General features: G+C 45.3%; 1 protein-coding gene and 1 long non-coding RNA gene across 18 annotated transcripts in view, besides 2 other annotated features; one reads left to right on the plus strand and one right to left on the minus strand.

The window, feature by feature from the left end:
- The window catches only part of KIAA1755, a 50,233-nt gene extending 49,945 nt beyond the window's left edge, over positions 1-288 (minus strand). For all 17 annotated transcript variants that reach the window (NR_145960.2, XM_024452013.2, NM_001348708.2 and 14 more), the window contains exon 1: positions 51-288. Coding sequence is in view for 16 of the 17 variants with exons in the window: in XM_024452013.2 (XP_024307781.1) it covers positions 51-53 (3 nt within the window). In the remaining variant the exon portion in view is untranslated. The remainder of the gene's footprint in view (positions 1-50) is intronic.
- LOC149684 (uncharacterized) overlaps positions 1-20,030 on the plus strand; it is a 28,773-nt gene that overhangs the window by 273 nt on the left and 8,470 nt on the right. The window lies entirely within an intron of this gene.
- Positions 46-545: an enhancer, noted in NCBI's record as "H3K4me1 hESC enhancer chr20:36888895-36889394 (GRCh37/hg19 assembly coordinates)". NCBI's record gives its function as "activates a minimal SCP1, AML or CMV promoter by ChIP-STARR-seq in naive H9 embryonic stem cells {active_cell/tissue: H9 hESC(naive)}" and the evidence as "EXISTENCE:reporter gene assay evidence [ECO:0000049][PMID:30033119]".
- Positions 19,711-19,820: a silencer, noted in NCBI's record as "silent region_12898". NCBI's record gives its function as "represses an Ori minimal core promoter by ATAC-STARR-seq in GM12878 lymphoblastoid cells {active_cell/tissue: GM12878}" and the evidence as "EXISTENCE:reporter gene assay evidence [ECO:0000049][PMID:35858748]".

The following is a 20,030-nucleotide window of genomic DNA, read 5'->3' on the forward strand; positions in this document are numbered from 1 at the left end:
TGCCCACTGAAAGGGGGCAGAGCGAGGTGGTCCAGGCCTTGGCGCGTTACCATGGTGACGGGCTGCCAGCGGCGGGCGGCGCGGCTCCTCTCCTGGGCGCGGGGTCTGTGGGTCCGCGGGTCCGTCTGTCTGGGGCAGCCCTCGGTCCCGCCTAGCCCTGGAGCCAGGGGATAGGGCAGGCCCGGGGCACCGACCCCGGCGTCATCTCGGAGGAGCGGCCGGGGAGGACAGGGAGAGAGACTGAGAGAGAGACAGAGAGGGACTGAGGCTGGAGACGGCGAGAGACATAAGGGAGCCGCGGGCGGCGCGGGTCGGGCCACCAGACGGGGGGCGGCAGCAGAGGCGGGGCGGGGCGGGGCGCGGCGGGACAGCGGCCCCTTTGTGCCTGAGCCCTTTGTGCCCAGCCCGCGCGCCCCGCCCCCACCGCCCCCCCTTCCCTCCGTCCACCCCCTCAGCAGCCAGCTGGAACCCGAGGAACCCGAGTCCGCCCCGCCAAGTTTTCCTCCCCGCTCCTCGCTCTTCCCACGGCGCACCCGGCCCGGACAGCCCCATTGTACAGACCCGCAGAGCGAGGCCTCGAGCCGCAGCAGCCGGGTTAAGCGCCCGCGGACCTCGCTGGCAGGCCCAAGTTCGAGTCTCCTCCTCCTACACTTCCCAGGGAGTCACAGACTCTCTTAAGCTTCGATTTCTTCATCTGTAAAATGGGGTGGGAGGAGGATGATGATGATGATGATGATGATGATGATGATGATGATAGTGCCTGCTGCTTAGATTTGGTGATGAGGAGTAAGCATCTGTCCCAGCGCCCTTGAATTCTCCCACATTATGCCCCATCATGACGGCCTAATTCAAGGCTTTGAGGTGATGATGGCTGTGTGCGAGTTCTGTTCTTGACTCTCAGATAATGACCTTGGCCAAGTCGGTATTTCCTACTGAGCCTCAGCTTTGGAGTGAGACTAAGAAACTAGATGACCGCTAGGGTCTATATGTGTGTGTCCCCTCCCAAATTCGTATGTCCAGACCTAATCCTCAGTATGATGGCATTAGGAGGTGGGGCCTTTGGAAAGTGATTGGGTCATGAGAGGACAGAGCCCTCACGAATGGGATTAGTGCCTCTCTCTATATATATATATACACCTACATATATATACCTATATATATACATATATACACCTATATATATACATATATACACCTATATATATACATATATAGGCACTAATATGTATAGGCATATATACACACACATATATATACACACACATATATATACACACATATATACATATATATACACACACACGCACACACATATATATTTGAGATGGAGTCTCACTCTGTTGCCCACCCAAGCTGGAGTGCAGTGGCATGATCTCAGCTCACTGCAACCTCTACCTCCCAGGTTCAAGCAATTTTCCTGCCTCAGCCTCCCGAGCAGCTGGGATTTTAGGCACCCGCCACCACACCTGGCCAATTTTTGTATTTTTAGTAGAGACTGCATTTCGCCATGTTGGCCAGGCTGGTCTCGAACTCCTGACCTCAGGTGATCTGCCCACCTCACCCTCCTAAAGTGCTGGGATTACAGGCGTGAGCCACCATGCCCAGCTTAGTGCCCAAGAGGCCCCAGAGAGCTAGCTGCCTTGCCCCTTCCACCATGGAAGGACACAGCGAGAAGGGGCTGTCTATGAACCAGAAAGGCCCAGAAACATAAGGTCCAGAAAGAAGGCTCTTACCAAACACCCAACTTGCTTGTGCCTTGATCTAGGGCTTCCCAGCCTCCAGAACTGTGAGAAGAGAATTTCTGTTGTGTATAAGCCCCTCAGTCTAAGGTATGTTGTTATAGCAGCCCAGACTAAAACAGTGACCAAAGTTATTCCTGGTTAGATGGCTCAGGGTTTTGTCCATTTATTTATCAAACACTGTGCACTGAGTCAGCCTGTCTCCCCCACTAGACTATACATTACTTGAGAGTCCCGGCCCTCAAGTAATGTACAGTCTAGTGGGGGAGACAGGCAAGGAGCAGATAAACAGGAAAAATAAAAAAATAATAACTGTGGTAACTGCTAAGAAGGAAACAAACAAATGTTGACATTGGGAACAGTAGAGGGATCAACTTATAGCTGGTGGTCTAGGAAGCCTGGGTCTGAAAGCCTAGATCTGAAAGGGGAGGAATTAGAAGAGTGGAGATGGGGAGACGCAGAGGAACCAAGTTCTAAGCAGAGAGAACCGCATATGCAAAGGCTCTGAGGCAATATTAAGCTTAAAGGAGCTGGGGAGTAAGTGAAGAACTGAAAAAGACGAGTGTAGTTGTAAGGGTTAGAGTTCAGACCCAAGCCTTATTCACAGCCCATCTCCCACCCCACATAGGTTAATCAGTCTTTTAGCAGAGAAAACCTGAATTAGGAGCCATCCTATCCCAACTTTTGATAAGTTCCTTCACATCCCCGACCTTCACTTGCTTATCACTAATTTGGGACTAATAATCCCCTGCAATATTTCCACAGCCCAGCAATCAAGTAAACTCTCTCTACAGGAGATGGTCTGGATGGTTTTAGTATCATGACTCCAGATGTGAATTTAGGAGAGAACAGACTTGATGTTCAGTACAGAATTCCACTGAGAGTTGTGGGGTCACAGCTTGAAGGTTTTAGAGTCCCAGGTTGCCATGAGACAGAATTGACATGACAGCCAGCGTTCTGGGGTTGCAGGCAACAGAAGCGGATTCTGAGTTAATTAAGCAGAAAAGAATGGATTGGCAGTCAGAGAATCAATGCGAAGGCTGGGGCCTATCCTCTGGAAAGCACTGGAGTAAGTAGGATGCTCTGGGGGGTCTCGTTATCGGAAAGAGTTGGAAACGTTTGAACACATGGAATTACATTAAGACAAACAAACACACCAAAGTAGAACTTTATATGTGTCAGGTAGTTTTCTAAGTATATAACAGTTATGAAGTAGATTCTATTATTGTCCTCACTTTACAAATGAAAAACTAAGGCACAGAGAGGGTATGTAGCCTGCCCAATGTCAGATAGCTAGTAAACTGTGGATTTCAGAATTGGACACAGCTATCCAATTCCGTAAGTTATGTTATTAACCACTTTGCTATGCTACCTGCATAAATCCTAACCATTCTCTCTGCCCTTGTGTTCCTCACTGATGGACTCAGAACCTTAAAAGAGCCAGGCATGGTGGCATGCTCCTGTAGTCCCAGCTACTTAGGAGGCCAAGGTGGGAGGATCACTTGAGCCCAGGAGTTCAAGGCTGCAGTGAGCTATGATTGCACCATTGCACTCCAACCTGGGAGACAGAGTGAGACCCCATCTCTAAAAAACAAACAAACAAAATAAAACCTTTATAGAGAAATTCTAATTGCGTCATGTGCCCAGGGCCTCACTAAGACTGCACCTACACATATCAGGAATAGTTGGTCACCCAAAAGGAAATTAAATTGCATAAGAAGGAGAAGAAATGAATATGAAATTGTCCATAAACAAGTGCAATTACAGCCTGGGCACAGTGGCTCATGCCTGTAATCCCAGCACTTTGGGAGGCCGAGGTGGGCAGATTGCCTGAGCTCAGGAGTTTGAGACCAGCCGGGGCAACATGGCAAAACCTTGTCTCTACTAAAAATGCAAAAAAATAACCAGGCATGGTGGCGCACACCTGTAATCCCGGCTACTGGGAGGTTGAGGCAGGAGAATCACTTGAACCTGGGAGGTGGAGGTTGCAGTGAGCAGAGATCACACCACTACACTCCAGCCTGGGTGACAGAGTGAGACTCTGTCTCAAAACAACAACAACCACCACCACCACCACAACAACAAAAAGGTGCAATTACGGTCTATCCATTGGGCCTCTCAACATACTTTATATCCTTGTTCACAGGCATGTTCTTCCAAAACTCCTCTCTACTGATGTGGTATAGCAGTTCCATATGCAACCAACAATGTGCACACACACATACACACACACACCTCTATGGTTTGTAGTCATACTGTGTGTGACCTCAGGGAGGTTCACTTTTCTGAGCTTCAGAATCGTCTTTTGTAAAAGATGGGTAAGATTCGTCATGGGGAAGAATAAATAAGTTAATGAATGTAAAGTGCTTTGCACTGTGTCTGGTACATAGAATTAACATGCGTCATATAAAATAGTGCTGTTATTCCAAAAAATAGGGAGGAGGGAATACTTCCAAACTCATTCTATGAGGCCAGTATTACTCCAATACCAAAACCAGACAAAGACACATCTAAAAAAGAAAACTACAGGCCAATATCTCTGATGAATATGGATGCAAAACTTCTTAACAAAATACTAGCAAACTGAATTCAACAATACATTAAAAAGATCATTCATCATGACTAGGTGGGATTTATCTCTGGGATGCAAGGATAGTTCAACATATGCAAATCAATCCATTCTGTTGTGATACATCACATCACATACATCACATCAACAGAATGAAGGACAAAAACCATATGGTCATTTCAATCGATATTGAAAATGCATTTGATAAAAGTCAACTTCCACTCACGATTAAAAACCCTCAAAAAACCAGGTATAGAAGGAACATACCTCAACATAATAAAAGCCATATATAACAGACCCACAGCTAGTATCATATGGAATGGGAAAAAACTGAAAGCCTTTCCTCTAAGATCTGGAACACAACAAGGATGCCCACTTTCGCCACTGTTATTCAACGTAGTACTGGAAGTCCTAGCTAGAGCAATCAGGCAACAGAAAGAAATACAGCGCATCCAAATTGGAAAGGAAGAAGTCAAATTATCCTTGTTTGTCGATGATATAATCTTATATTTGGGAAAACCTAAAGACTCCACCACAAAACTATTAGAACTGATAAACAAATTCAATAAGATTGCAGGATACAAAATCAACATATGAAAATCAGTAGCATTTCTATATGCCAACAGTGAACAATCTGAAAAAGAAATTTAAAAATAATCCCATTTAAAATAGCTAAAAATAAAATTAAATATCTAAGAACTAATTTAACCAAAGAAATACAAGATCTCTATAATGAAAACTATAAAATATAAAGTGAAAGAAATTGAAGAGGACACCAAATAATGGAAAGATACTCCCAAAGCAATATACAGATTCAGTGCAATCCCTATCAAAATATCATTGACATTCTTCACGGAAATAGAAAAAACAATCCTAAAATTTATGTGGAACCACAAAAGACCCAGAATAGTCAAAACTATCCTAAACAAAAAGAACCAAACTGGAGTAATCACATTACCTGACTTCAAATTATACTACAGAGCTATAGTAACCAAAACAGCATGTTACTGACATAAAAACAAATACATAGAACAATGGAACAGAATAGAGAACCCAGAAACAAATCTGCACACCTACAGTGAACTCATTTTTGACAAAGGTGCCAAGAACATACACAGGGGAAAAGATAGTCCAATAAATGGTGATGGGAAAACTGGATATCCATATGCAGAAGAATGAAACTAGACCCCTATCTTTTGCCATATACAAAAATCAAATTTAAATGAATTAAAGACTTGAATCTAAGACTTTAAACTATGAAACCACAGCAATAAAACATTGGGGGAACTCTCCAGGACTTCGGTCTGGGCAAAATTTCTTGAGTAATACCCAACAAGCACAGGCAACCAAAGCAAAAATGGACAAATGAGATCACATCAAGTTAAAAAGCTCTTGCACAGCAAAGCAAACAATCAACAAAGTGAAAAGACAACCCACAGAATGGGAGAAAATATTTGCAAACTATCCATCTGATGAGGGATTAACAACCAGAATATATAAGAAGCTAAGACAACTATATAGAACAAAATCTAATAATTTGATTTTAAAACATGCAAAAAGATTTGAATAGACGTTTCTCAAAAGAAGATGGCATACAAATGGCAAACAGGTATATGAAAATTGCTCAACATCATTGATCATCAGAGAAATGCAAATCAAAACTACAATGAGGTATCATCCCACCCCAGTGAGCATGGCTTTTATCCAAAAGACAGGCAATAACAAATGCCAGCGAGGATGTGGAGAAAAAGGAACCCTTTTACGCTGTTGGTGGGAATGTGAATTAGTACAACCACTATGGAGAACAGTTGGGAGGTTCCTCAAAAAACTAAATATAGATCTACCATATGACCCAGCAATCCCACTACTAGATCTATACCCAAAAGAAAGGAAGTCAGTATATGGAAGAGATCATCTGCACTCCCATGTTTGTTGCAACACTCTTCACAATAGCCAAAGTTTGGAAGCAGCCTAAGTGTCCATCAACAGATGAGTGGATAAAGAAAATGTGGTACTTACACACAATGGAATACTGCTCAGCCATAAAAAAGAATGAGATGTTGTTATCTGCAACAACATAGATGGAACTGGAGGTCAGTATGCAAAGGGAAATAAGCCAGACACAGAAAGACAAACATCACATGCTACACTTATTTGTGAGATCTAAAAATCAAAACAATTCAACGAATGGAGACAGAGAGTGGAAGGATGTTTATCAGAGGCTCAGAAGGGTAGTGGTGGGGGGTGGGGGTGGGGGGGGTTGGTTAATAGGTACAAAAACATAGTAAGAATGAATAAGACCTAGTATTTGGTAGCACAACAGGATAACTATAGCAAATAATAATGTAACTGTGCACTTCAAAATAACTAACGGTATAATTGGATTGTTTGTAACACAAAAGACAAATGCTTGAGGGGATGGATACTCCATTCTCCATTATGTGATTATTATACATTGCATGCCTGTGTCAAAACATCTGAAGTGCCCCATAAATATATACACCTACTATGTACCCACAAAAATTAAAATGAAAAATAAAAATAGAATAAAATAGTGTTATGTTAGGGGCCGGGAGTTGTGGATTCACCCTCCAAATACACAGGCTTAACTGTTGGACTGGACTTGGTTCATCTCTCTGGGACTTTCCAGTGGATCTTCCAAGGACTTCAAGCATTCACTTCCTTCCTCTCTCTCTCTGGCAAATGAATAACTGAATCATGTGCCAATTGCTACACTAAATTTTGAGAAATAACCAAATCCATCACTAGTCTTACATATATGGTGGAGTGAGAAAATGGGGAAGGGCTGTGGAAATGGGCTCTGTTACTGGTTCGCTGTGCAGCTCTCTGCATGGGGCCACAGTTTCCTCAGCATAAAATGGTGATTATATAATCTCTCCTCATGAGGCTCTTGTAAGAATCCAGTGAAATAATGCATTGAAAGGGTTTAACACAGTGCTTGGCATATAACAGGTTCTCAGCAAATGGAAGCTCTGCCTGTGATTTTGAGATTTCCAGGCCTAAGTGCCAGGACACCTCACCAGGGGACATGCTTACTTGGAGGAAGGGAGTTGCCTAATTTAAGCAGGATGTCATGGGATTCAGAATGCATTCATTCAATCATTTAATACATATTTATTTGCTCCTAGTATGAGGATGCTAAATACTTGGCAGGTGTGCATATACTCATCCCTCCCATACCCATGACAGATGTCACTAATCCATCATGGAACTTTCTGCTGAACCTAGAAACTGCCCCAGAGTCCTCCTCAATAGAAAGTGCAGGCAGCTGCTACCAATCAATACATGTTGACATGAAGACGATGCTTATTCACCATCTGAAGTTCACAATGTATGAGGAAATGGGCTCCAGAGGCAGAAGCCTCCAGAGACAGAAGGCTTGGGTTTGCATTTTGCCATAGGTCCTTATGATAATGTGTAGGCACTAAAGGAGCGTATCAGCCTTGGAGTGGACCACTCAGATCTCCCTTCAAGACAGAGTCTGTGAGCTGCAGATGTCTTCAGGATCTGCTTCAGCTTTTGAGCTGAGGCCACCTGCTTCCTGGGCAGCCTGCAGCTAAACACACTGTGAATGAGGTTTCGTTATTTCTGCCTAATATAGGATTTCTCTATGAATAATCTTTGTGCCAGAGTCCCCTGTTGGGCTGGCCAAGACCTTCTCAGAGCTGCGCCACAGTCTGAAGCTCTTGCTACCCAATCCTTCTTCATTCCCCCTCTCCTTTCCTAGTCAGACCTGCGTCAACATCCAAAGGCTCCCCTTTTTTCTCCTGCTCCCTCTCCCCATTATCCTTTGCAGGCATTACCCCCATGCATCTCTTGGCATTCTTAACTCTGTCTTTGGCCTCTGTTTCTCAGAGGACACAGGTGACCTCAGCACTGAGCTGCAGAAGACTGGGCTGGAAAGGAGTGGTCCTCATCTTCTCTGATGGGGAGAATAGGGGTGGCACAGAGGTTATTGTGAGTGCTAGGGGCAAAGAGTGACCCAGAACAGGGAGGCTGAAGGGCACCTCCCTCAGCACGAAATTGGCCTTCCCTATCAAGTACTCTTTTTTTATTTTTGAGACAGAATTTTTGCTCTTGTTGCCCAGGCTAGAGTGCAATGGTGCAGTCTCGGCTCACTGCAACCTCCACCTCCCAGGTTCAAGTGATTCTCCTGCCTCAGCCTCCCAAGTAGCTGTGATTATAGGCGCCCACGACCACGCCCAGCTAATTTTTGTATTTTTAGTAGAGACGGGGTTTCACCATGTTGGCCAGGCTGGTCTCAAACTCCTGACCTCAGGTGATCCACTCACCTTGGTCTCTCAAAGTGCTGGGATGACAGGCATGAGCCACCGTGCCTGGCCAAGGACTCTTGATTGCAAATGACAGAAACTCAACTCAATCTCAAAGTAAAAAGGGACTTTAAGCGCCTTATAATGGAGAAGTGGTGCCGGAGCTCTGTCATCATTCTAATAGCTTCTTCCCTATGACTAGAGAAGTTGGCCTCCAGGCCTATAAGGTCTCAAGCTGGCAATAATAGTATAAAGACATCATCAAAATAGTAATCTCAGGGAAGACCCTGATTGGCTTTGCTTGGGTCACATGTCAATTCTTGAACCAATCACTGTGACCAAGGTAATGAAGATATTCTGATTGGCTGGAATAGATTCTATGCCCACCCCTGGGTGGGAGCACATGATGATGGCTCTACCAGGGCTGCATAGAGAGAGGAGAAGCTCTCCAAAACAAACAGGGGGATGGGAACACAAGGTAAACAACAAAACCTTTGGTGATCATTATCCACTTCAGAAACACGGAGAAGGAAAAAGACAAAAAAGACAGCTTCTTCTCTCAATGACCTCCTCTTTTCACAGGGGAAAATCTGATGTTTAAATGTTTCCTGATGAGGTCCTAGGATGGGCTTTGGGGAGTGACCTGTGGGTAGGTTAGGGACCTCAAACACTGTCTCACCCTTTCCTAGGATGCCCACAATCTCGGTGGGAAGGATGAGATGGAAATAACCTATGGAAATAAAACCTCTTAGAGCTCCTAAAAAAGACTGAAAACTTACCTTGTTTAACTGTCCTGATTTATGCCAGGGAGCTTCACCCAGGGAGGAGTGACTCACGTTGTCACACTGTCCAGCCAGGACAACAATCTGTTATACTTCATCTGTCCTTAAATCGGCCTCTTGATGGAGCAGCCTGTGCTGTATAAGCGGAGACCTTGAGTTCAGGCCCCTCTCTACCCACTAACTCCGTGAGGCATCTTGGGGGTTTGCCTGAATTCTCAGAACCTCAGTTTTCTACCTGTAAAATGGAACCCATAACCTCTGCTTTGCCTGTTTCCCGTCTGCTGTGAGGCAACAACACACGCATTTGTCACGTCTCACTAGGGATGGAGGTCATAAGATGCATTTATTGAGTGTCCACTCTGTGCCAGAGACAGCGTGCTGGATGCTGGCCATATCAGGGTGAACATGACAGACAGTCCCTGCCTTCATGTAGCTCACAGTCTAGAAGAGAGTCAGATCTTAATAATGAGTGCCTTATACAAATGGTGGTAAGGTCTTAAAGGGGAAAAAAGAGCACAAATCAATGGAACCCACTGGAGGTCCAGGAGGGTGGCCCTGAGGGCTTAAGCTGGGATTCAAAGAGAAAACATAAGAAGTCAGGGAAGGCTGGGCTCGGTGGGTCACACCTGTAATCCCAGCTCTTTGGGAGGCTGAGGCAGGCAAATCACGAGGTCAGGAGATCGAGACCATCCTGGCCAACATGATGAAACCCCGTCTCTACTAAAAATACAAAAATTAGCTGGGTGTGGTGGCGCATGCCTGTAATCCCGGCTACTTGGGAAGCTGAGGCAGGAGAATCGCTTGAACCAGGGAGTCGGAGGTTGCAGTGAGCCGAGATTGCGCTGCAGCACTCCAGCCTGGTGACAGAGCAAGACTCCGTCTCAAAAAAACAGAAGAAGAAAAAGTCAGAGAAAAGCATTAAAGTCAGAGGGAACACCACATGCAAAAGGCCTGTGGCAGGAGAGCATGTTGGAGGCAGAAAAAAGCCAGAGAGTGATGGGGACAGGGACACAAGAGGAGGTGGGAGGCATGGGCAAGGCTCCGTAGACCAGAGAGTTTGAATTTTCTCCTTAGAGCCATGAAAACCCATGGGAAGGAATTCAGGAGGGAGTAATATTATCAGATTAGGTTTTTCTTGACCACCCCCCCGCCGGCTGACTCCCTTCAAAAGGTTCCTCCAGTGCCTGGGTGGAGGAGACCGTGGGAGGGGGCAGGGGCTACAGGGAGACCCACCAGCAAGGGGGCTGACATGGGGTGCTGGAGAAGAGTTGGGCTCCAAGGGTGGTGGAAGCCAAAAGCCAGGGCTCTGGGGGGACTTGGGGCTGGATACTCCAAGTCAGGGGACATAGAGGGCTGTGTAGCTCCCCCCAGCACATCCCTGAGCCTCTGGAGAAGTCCTTCATCTCTGGAGTTTCTCTTTCCCTTCCAGTCCAGCCCTTTCTTGTTATTGTAGGACAGACTCCATCGATGACTCATTCAGGACTTGGGTTTCTTGTTCCAGCAGTCTCCCTTCCCCTGATTACTTTGGGCTCCTCTGGGCCTGCAGGCCTCGCCCCTCATCATCTGGGGAGGCAGCCAAGAACCTTGCTGGCTGGGTGAGCTCTACGGAGGAAGGAGCCGGGACCCTCCTAGCTTCAGGCCCCACCCATGCTTTCCTGCCTCTGGTTTTGCTCTCCTCTTTCCCCCGCCAGGGGACCCCTGTTCTGCAAGTCCTGCTCCTCCTTCCAGGACCACCTCCCCTGGGAAGCCCTGCTAGGTGGCCCCGCACAATCTTCTCCACCCTGCTCAGTGGCACCTGTCTTTTTATTCAACCCCCAGGAGCCCACCTTCTGGTGAGTGAGGCAGGGGTGTATTGATGGAACTACAGACACAAATATGGTAGGAACCTAGAGGAGGGAACCAATAACACCCCCTAGAGATTGGGTCAGATGAGGTTTCCCAGAGAAAGGGACATTTACACCTGGGTTTTGAAGGAGGAATAGAAGTTCATCATGGGGAGAAAAATAAGAAGGCATTCCAAGCCAAAGAAACAGTGTGTGCAAGTTATTTCTGTAATGCATGAAAGGGGCCCAGTGCATGTAAATGTTTGTTGAATGAATCAATGTTTGGGGGAACATTGAGAAATTTGGTGTGGCTGCATCAGAGCTTGCAAACTGTCAGTGGATAGGCCAAATCAGGCAAAGAGAAGGTTAAAAAAAAAAGTGAAAATGGAATTAATTCTCAACATCTAAAAATTGGGAGGCTTCACAGACACTCCGGAGCTGGGCAGCATCCTCTGCCTTTAGGCGCATGCTATCCAGCTCACCAGAGTCCCCACCTGGCTCAGTTTACTCATTCATGCTACTCCTTGGGCCCTGTGGACATTTGAATTTGCACCCCTACCTACTTGTTATACTCCTCAAGGTTCTGGACTGTGAGCTACTCACAGGGCCAGGCACACAGCAGGTGCCTAATACATCTTTGTTGGCTAAGTGGATAGATGGTGTGATGATTTTAAAATATGTCCCCAAATTTCTTAACACTCTGGAGCCCCCTTCAGTGTGGGCTGAACTTAGAGACTCCCCTGTAGACAGCCAAATGTAGAAGAAGTAATAGCTTGTGATTTCAGAAACTAGGTCACAAAAGACACTGTGGCTTCTGCCTGGCTGTTTCTTGGATTGCTTGCTATGGGGAAAGCCAGCTGCCATTTTGTTAGGATACTCAAACAGCCCTGTGGAAACACCCAGGTGGCGAGGAACTGAGGCTTCTTCTTGCCAATGGCCGGCACCAACTTGCCAGCCATGTGAGTGAGTCACCTTGGAAGCAGCTTCTCCAGCCCAGTCTAGCCTTAGATGATTGCAGCCCAAGCTGACAGCTTGACTGCAACCTCATGAGAGACCCTGAGTTACAACCACCCAGTGAGGCTGCTTCCAAACACCTGATCTACAGAAACTGTGTGAAACAATAAATGTTTATTGTTGTCTCAGATGCTGAGTTATGAAATAATTTGTTATGTTACGCATCAATAGATAACTAATATGGATGGATGGCTGGGTATCTGGATGGCTGGATAGATTTATATAGAGCGCATTAGGTAATGGAGGAAGTCCCATTGGGAAAGAGGGTCAGAGCCTGGAGAGCCAGAAGAAGTTTGTAATCCCTGGTCATCTCTAAGCTTTAGGGAGGTTATTCAGGCAGCCAGAGGAGGAGAGAGTTAGTGAGTTTTGAAGCCAAGAGGTCATCAGAGGCTAGACCACTCATCCTGGGGAGACAGCCTGCCCTGTGTCTCCAAATCCAGCTTCCTCAAGCAGCAGTTCATACTAGTCCTTCCTACCCTGAGGTCCTGGCTCCATCATTCCTCGGCCCCAGCTGGCCCTCAGAATTGTGGAGGAGGTCAAGACTTCAGCATTTTTCAGAAGCCAAGTCATCCTCCTCACTCAGAGTCTTCTTTGTGTGGAGGAAGCAGTTTCTCGACTGGTGGGGGACTCAGGGCAGGGTCAGTAGCCTTCAGGAACCAGAGGAGGGTATTGAGAAGCTGGGACCCTCTGTGGAGACCCTGCTGGCCCCAAAGGCATGGTGGAGAGCCACAGCCACCAAACATCCATAGGATTAGGTCAGCCCTAAGATCCAGTATATTGGTATTGTTTGAAATGACCCAACACATGTCCTCGGGAAACATATGTACAATGGGCCTGGCACATATGAGAATTTTTTAAGTAAATCAAAACTGCACTGAAATGCCATTTTTCATCTATCACATTGGCAAAATTTCAAAAGCTTGACAATACCTGCTGGTGAGGCTTTGAGCAAATAGCTACTCTTATAAATTGTCAATAATGCCTGTTGGCAATAAAACTTCTAGGAAGGAATTTGTAATATAGAACAAAACAGGATATGCATTTACTCTTTGATCCAGGATATTTACTTCTAGGATTTATCCTAAAGATATAATTCCACAAATATGAAAAATGTGTATGCAAGGTTATTTATTGAGGAATTATTTATAATACAAAATGTTGAAAATACACAAATGCCCATCTGTAGAAAACTGGATGAATAAACTATGGTACCACATGAGAGAATGTTATGCAGCCATGAAGGCAAGAAGGAAGATCTCTGTAAACCTACAGGGAGTGATTTCCAGCATATATTGTTAAACAACAAAATAAGGTAAAAGCAAAATAAAGGACTACCTATACTATGCAAACTTTTAAGAAAATAAAAAAGAAAACATTTATTTATTTACATACATATTTAAATAATTATGCAAAAGAAACCCAGGAAGGATAAATCGGAAACTTATTGCAAATGGTTACTCATAAGAAGTTAGTGGGAATATCAATGGAGAAGAAAGAGATGGGAGTGAGATTCCTCTGAATATATTTGTACAGGATTTTTGACTTTTTAACCATGCAAATATTTTACATTCTCAAAAATAAAATTAAATAAAAAGATAAAAATGTAAACTGTAAACTTATAAACAAAGAGTAAAGAGATGAGCTTAACTAAATGTCAAATAATAATATAGCCACACAAAGAAAATAATTTAAGTAAGTGTAACCACAGGAGTCTAGGTATTTAGTGTTATAATTCTAAAACTACTATCTCTGTGTTGTATGATGGAAGAAATGAGTAAATGTGCTGATGTTTTGGGACTCAGCGTTCTCACTATGGGAAAAGGAAGTCAAAAATATGGAGTGGAGGAAGGATCTGTGGCTATGGCTATGAGTGTTAACTGGAGACATTGATATGAGCAGACCAGGGAAAAGCAACATACCTATAGCAATTAGCACACCCAGGGCCCAGATCTTGTCTCCTAAATGCCATCATTCCCTACTAAACAGAACTAGTGTCCTTAGAAAAATGGCTGATTCCAGGATTGGGCAGGGAAAGTGAATGGTGAACCTGAAGCATCTCATGTCAAAATGCAAGGAAACACTCAATGAATGATGAGGCCAAGTCTAAAGGAGCCAACTTAAAGGGGCTCCCACTAGCCAAAGTCCAGACAATTTGATTCTCAAGAGAAGAACGATGAGGTTTCTCACTGTTGGAGTGAGAGATTACCAACAAGCAAGGGACTAGAATGATCCATGTGGCAATGGATTTGACTTGGAGACAGTAGCTTCCCAATGCAGATAGGTAAGTTGATAGATAGTTGCATACAGAAATGTTTATAGGTATGTGTATATAAAGAAGTTCATATATACATATATTTTCTTGTTCTATCAGCTGAGAACACTTAGAAGCACTGACATTGCAGTAGCAACAAGCACACTTAACATCCAGGTTTTGGTGTCTAATTCCATTCTCCAGTAAAAGAAAACAGGGATCCCTGGAGAAATGGCTGATTCAGGCTGGACATGGTGGCTTATGCCTGTAATCCCAACACATCGGGAGTCTGAGGCAGGTGGATTGCTTGAGCCCAGGAGTTCAGGCCAGCCTGATCAACATGGCGAAACTCTGTCTCTACAAAAAATACAAAAATCAGTTGGGCGTGGTGGCATGTGCCTGTAGTCCCAGCTACTCAGGAAGATGACGTGGGAGGATGGCTTGAGTCTGGGAGGCAGAGGTTGCAGTGAGCTGAGATCACACCACTGCACTCCAGCCTGGGCAACAGAGCAAGATTCTGTCTTAGAGAGAGAAAGAGAGAGAGAGAGAGAGAGAGAGAGAGAGAAATGGGTGATTCAAGCAAGGACTGGGGTAGAAAATGTACAATGTACAAGATGAGCCTGGAGCATCATAAGAAAATGCCTTAAAAAAACAAAGAAATCCACAATGATGGAAGGATGTGAAAGGGACACAGAAAACAACTGAAAGAGCTTCTAATGACCAAAGCTGGATGGAACAACTTGAACAAGAAAATAAAGCATACACTGATATAAATAAATGAGTGCATAAATAAACAGTCACTTGTCCCTTATTGACAGGGATGCTTTCTGATAAATGCATTGTTACAGGGATATGTTCTGATAAATGCACTGTTAGGCAGTTTCGTCATTGTGTGAACGTCAGTGTACTTACACAAACCTAGGTGGTATAGCCAGCTACACATCTAGGCTATATGGTATAGCCTAGTGCTCCTAGGCTACAAACCTGTACACTGTGTTATTGTACTGAATACTGCAGGCAATTGTAACATAATGGTAAGTATTTGTGTATCTAAATATACAAAAGGAACCATTAACATACACTTACCATGAATGAAGCTTGCAAAACAGGAAGTTGCTCTGGGTGAGTCAGTGAGTGAGTCGTGAGTGAATGTGAAGGCCTAGGACATTACTGTACCCTACTGTAGACTTTATAAACATTGTACACTTAGATTACATGGAATTTATACAAATATTTTTCTTTTTCTTTTTTTTTTTGAGACAGAGTTTCGCTCTTGTCACCCAGGTTGGTGTGCAGTGGCACAACCTCGGCTCACTGCAACCTCCGTCTCCTGGGTTCAAGAGATTCTCCTGCCTCAGCCTCCCGAGTAGCTGGAATTACAAATGCCCGCCACCATGCCTGACTAATTTTTGTATTTTTAGTAGAGGTGAGGTGTCACCATGTTGGCCAGGCTTGTCTTGAACTCATGACCTCAGATGATCCACTCGCCTCGGCCTCCCAGAGTGTTGGGATTACAGGCGTGAGCCACCGTGCCAGGCCCTAAAAATATTTTTCTTTCTTTAATAATAAATTAAACTTAGCCGTAAATTTTTTTACTTTCTAAACTTTTTAATTTTTAAAACTTTTGACTCTTTTGTAATAGCAACTTAAAACACCAACACATTAAACCAGTGTACAAAAAATATTTTCTTTCTTTATATCTTTATTCCATAAGCTTTTTTCTATTTTTAAATTTGTTTTAATTTTTAAACATTTTTGTTAAAAACTAAAATGGAAGGCCAGATGCAGTGGCTGGTGCCTATAATCCCAGCACTTTGGGAGGCAGAGGCAGGAGGATAGTTTGAGGGCAGGAGGATAGTTTGAGGCCAGGAGTTCAAGACCAGCCTGGGTAACATAGCAAGACTATCTATTAAAAGAAAAATTAGCTGGGCATGGTGATGCATGCCTGTAGTCTCAGCTAATCTGGAGGCTGATATAGGAGGATGGCTTCAACCCAGGAAGTCAAGACTGCAGTGAGCTAGGATCCCTCCACTGCCTTCCAGCCTGGGCCACAGAGTGACACCTTGTTGCTAAAAATTAAAACAAAAAATAAAAATAACTAAACTGCAAACACAGGCCGGGTGCGGTGGCTCACACCTGTAATCCCAGCACTTTGGGAGGCCAAGGCTGGTGGATTACCTGAGGTCAGGAGTTCAAGACCAGCCTGGCCAACATGGGGAAACTCCATCTCTACTAAAAATACAAAAATTAGCCAGGTGTGGTGGCACAGGCCTGTAATCCCAGCTGCTTGGGAGGCTGAGGCAGGAGAGTCGCTTGAACCCAGGAGGCGAAGGTTGCAGTGAGCCGAGATTGTACCACTGCACTCCAGCCTGGGCGACAAGAGCAAAACTCCATGTCAAAAAAAAAAAAAATGCAAACACACATATTAGCCTAGGCCTACACTGGATCATGATCATCAGTACCACTACCTATCACCTCCACATCTTGTCCTACCGGAAGGTCTAGGCAATGGGAATTTCTCAGCTCCATTATAATCTTACGGGACCACCATCGTTGTTGACCGAAGTGTTATTATGCAGCACATGGCTGTAAGTGTGAGAGATTAGGCAAATTTCCTGTGCAGAAGAATTCCAAATAGTTTATGTAGATACTTCACCCCCAAGAAGACACAGCATAAATAAATAACTTCCACTCCTAAAGTGTGGACTGCACATAGTGACTTCCTTCCAAAAGTTACAGTATGGGAAAGAGGAGAAAGAGTAACTTTACCGTGGAGAAATCTGACAAATATGACCTCGGCCAGGTGATCAAGGCCAATATCAACAGTAATAAATTGTGTTAATGCTACATACTCTTGATATGCTGTGTAAGGATGGGGCGCTTCAGATACAGGCTGCCTTAGACATCTCTATTCTGCCCCCACCTGCCTTGCAAAGATGTCCTCAGGGAGAGAGTAACTGTCTTCTCCAGGGCCACACAGCATGCTGGGAGGGGCAAATACCTGACTGGCCTCTTCACAGCATCAACAGAGTTACCACACCTATTTCACAGAGAAGGTAAGGGGGACCCTGAGGGCTTGTACAATTTGCCCACATCCCCTTACAGTGGTCCAGCTGCAAAAAAAAAAAAAAATAGTAGAGGGGCTCCCCAAACCACACACACCCCAAATAGCCACAGCTTAGCTCAGCTTCCTCCCATCCCTGGATTCTCAGCACTGAGATGTCTCCCTCCCCGACATTCTAGCTTCCTCTCCCTCTTTTCCCACAGGGACGGCCCCTTTCCCTCTATGGCCCCACTTCAGAGCTCTGGGGCTACCCAAGGACACCCCAGGCCTCTTCCTTACGGTATGAACAAAACTGGGCAGATGCTATGGCGGTGGCGCCACGGAGGGGGCCGGGGTCATGTTGCGGCCTCACGCAACAGGCGGCTGGGAGCTTAAGTCATGGTGAAAGGGCTAAATTGTCCTGTGCAGCTGTGCTTGTTTTTCTTCCCCGTTTCAGTCCGCAGCCCTGATAGGGGAGGGGGTAAGCTGGAGGCGGTCACTTTTTTTCCTGCCTGTGTTCCCCCATCCCAGGGAGTCCTCCAAGACTGTCCTCCAGGAGCCTACACGTGCTGCTTTCACCTGGTTTCTTATAAAGCAGAGTCTCGGGTCTGCGGAGTGGGAATGGGTCTTCATGGATCTAGCTGTTGAAACATCAGAATGATCCATGGGGGTGCAATCCAGGCAGACATCTGCCTCCCCCAATAGGATTAGAACCCCAGGGGCTAGGAGCAGAATTGCAGTGTTAATAAACACAGATGGTTAGTTAGACCCAGCTTGACTATACAGATTGAGAAAAACTGGGGCCCAGAGAGGGACAGAGATTGCTCAGGGTCACTGAATAAGACCTATGGCTAAACCTAAGCTAACTCCATTCATTCATTCATTCATTCATTCATTCATTCATAAAAACATTCACTCAGCATTGACTACTTCCGGCCCTTTGCCAAGGGTTTAGCAGGGCGGGAGTTGGCTCACAAGATGCTCACAATAAGCAAGCATGTATACAACAAACATCCTTCAAAAGTGCAGTGACAAGTACTGCAATTGAGATGTCTGAGATACCACAGGAGCCCAGGAAGGGTACTTGACCAGGCAGAGGGGAAGTGGTCAGGGAGGGATGCCTAGGGGAGCTGATAACACAAGCAGAATCCTAAAGGAGCCATAGAATATATCTATGCAAATGGCCAGGCACTGTGGCTCATGCCTATAATCTCAGTACTTTGGGAGGCTGAGGCTGAAGGTTGTTTGGGAGGCCAGAAGTTTGAAACCAGCCTGAGGAAGGAGTTGGTTGAACTTGTTTGTTTGAGACCAGAGAAGCAAGACGTCATCTCTACAGAAAATACAAAATTAGCTGGGCATGGTGGTGTGCACCTAGCTACTTGGAAGGCTGAGGTGGGAGGATGGCTTGAGTCTAGGTGGTTGAGGCTTCAGTGAGCTATGATTGTGCCACTGCACTTCAGCCTGGGCAACAGAGTGAGACTCCATCTCTGGAAAATATGTGTACAAATAATTTTTTTAATTAAATGAAAATTTGAAAAACAAAGGAGGAAGGACCCTCCAGGCAGGAGGATCAGCATGAGCAGAGGTTTGGAGGTAAGAGCGGTGTGGGTGGGCAGCAAAAAGCAGTTCAGTGTTGCAGGAGCCCAGATTTGTGTGGCAGGAAGAGGCAAGAAGTTTATTGCACCTGCTGAGTGCTTACTATATGCAGGGCCCTATTCAGGCACTGGGTTTAGGCACCATGAGCAAATGTACACAAAGCCCCTGCCCTCATGGCTCTTCCATTCTAGGGGAAAGACAAGAAAAAAACCAAACCAATAAGCAAACCAAGGCATAATATTCATGAGGAGGTAAGTGCTGAGGGGGGAAATAATGCAGAGTAAGGGGCTCCTATTTCATGACAGGTAGCCAGAAAAGGCGTCTTGATGAACACATCCTTAGCGGAGACCTGAAGGAGGCAAGGTAGTGAGTGGCGAAGCATTTGGGTAAAGCATGTTCAAGGAGGAGGGAGCAGTGAGCACAAAGGTCCTGAGGCCTGAGCAAGGTGAGGCTGGAGAAGGTTGGCAGGAGCCAGTTCAAAAAAGGACCTTACATGACATGCTAAGAAGTCACTTTCCTCTTCTTCTAGTAAAGTATAAGAAGCCAGTGTTGGGGCTTTGTGTTAGTCCATTCTCACACTGCTATAAAAAAATCCCCAGCTGGGTGCAGTGACTCATGTCTGTAATCCTAGCACTTCGGGAGGCCAAGGCAGGCAGATCACTTGAGGTCAGAAGTTCAAGACAAGCCTGGCCAACGTGGCAAAACCCCATCTCTACTAAAAATACAAAAATTAGCCAGGCATCATGTCACAGGCCTGTAATCCCAGCTACTTGAGAGGCTGAGGCAGAAGAATCGCTTGAACCTGGAAGGAGGTTACAGTGAGCTGAGATCGTGCCACTGCACTCCAGCCTGGTGATAGAGCAAGACTCCATCTCAAAAAAAAAAAAAAGAAGAAGAAGAAGAAGTAGAAATACCTGAGAC

This window comes from Homo sapiens, chromosome 20, assembly GCF_000001405.40.
Source record: "Homo sapiens chromosome 20, GRCh38.p14 Primary Assembly".
Classification (NCBI taxonomy): Eukaryota; Metazoa; Chordata; class Mammalia; order Primates; family Hominidae; genus Homo; species Homo sapiens.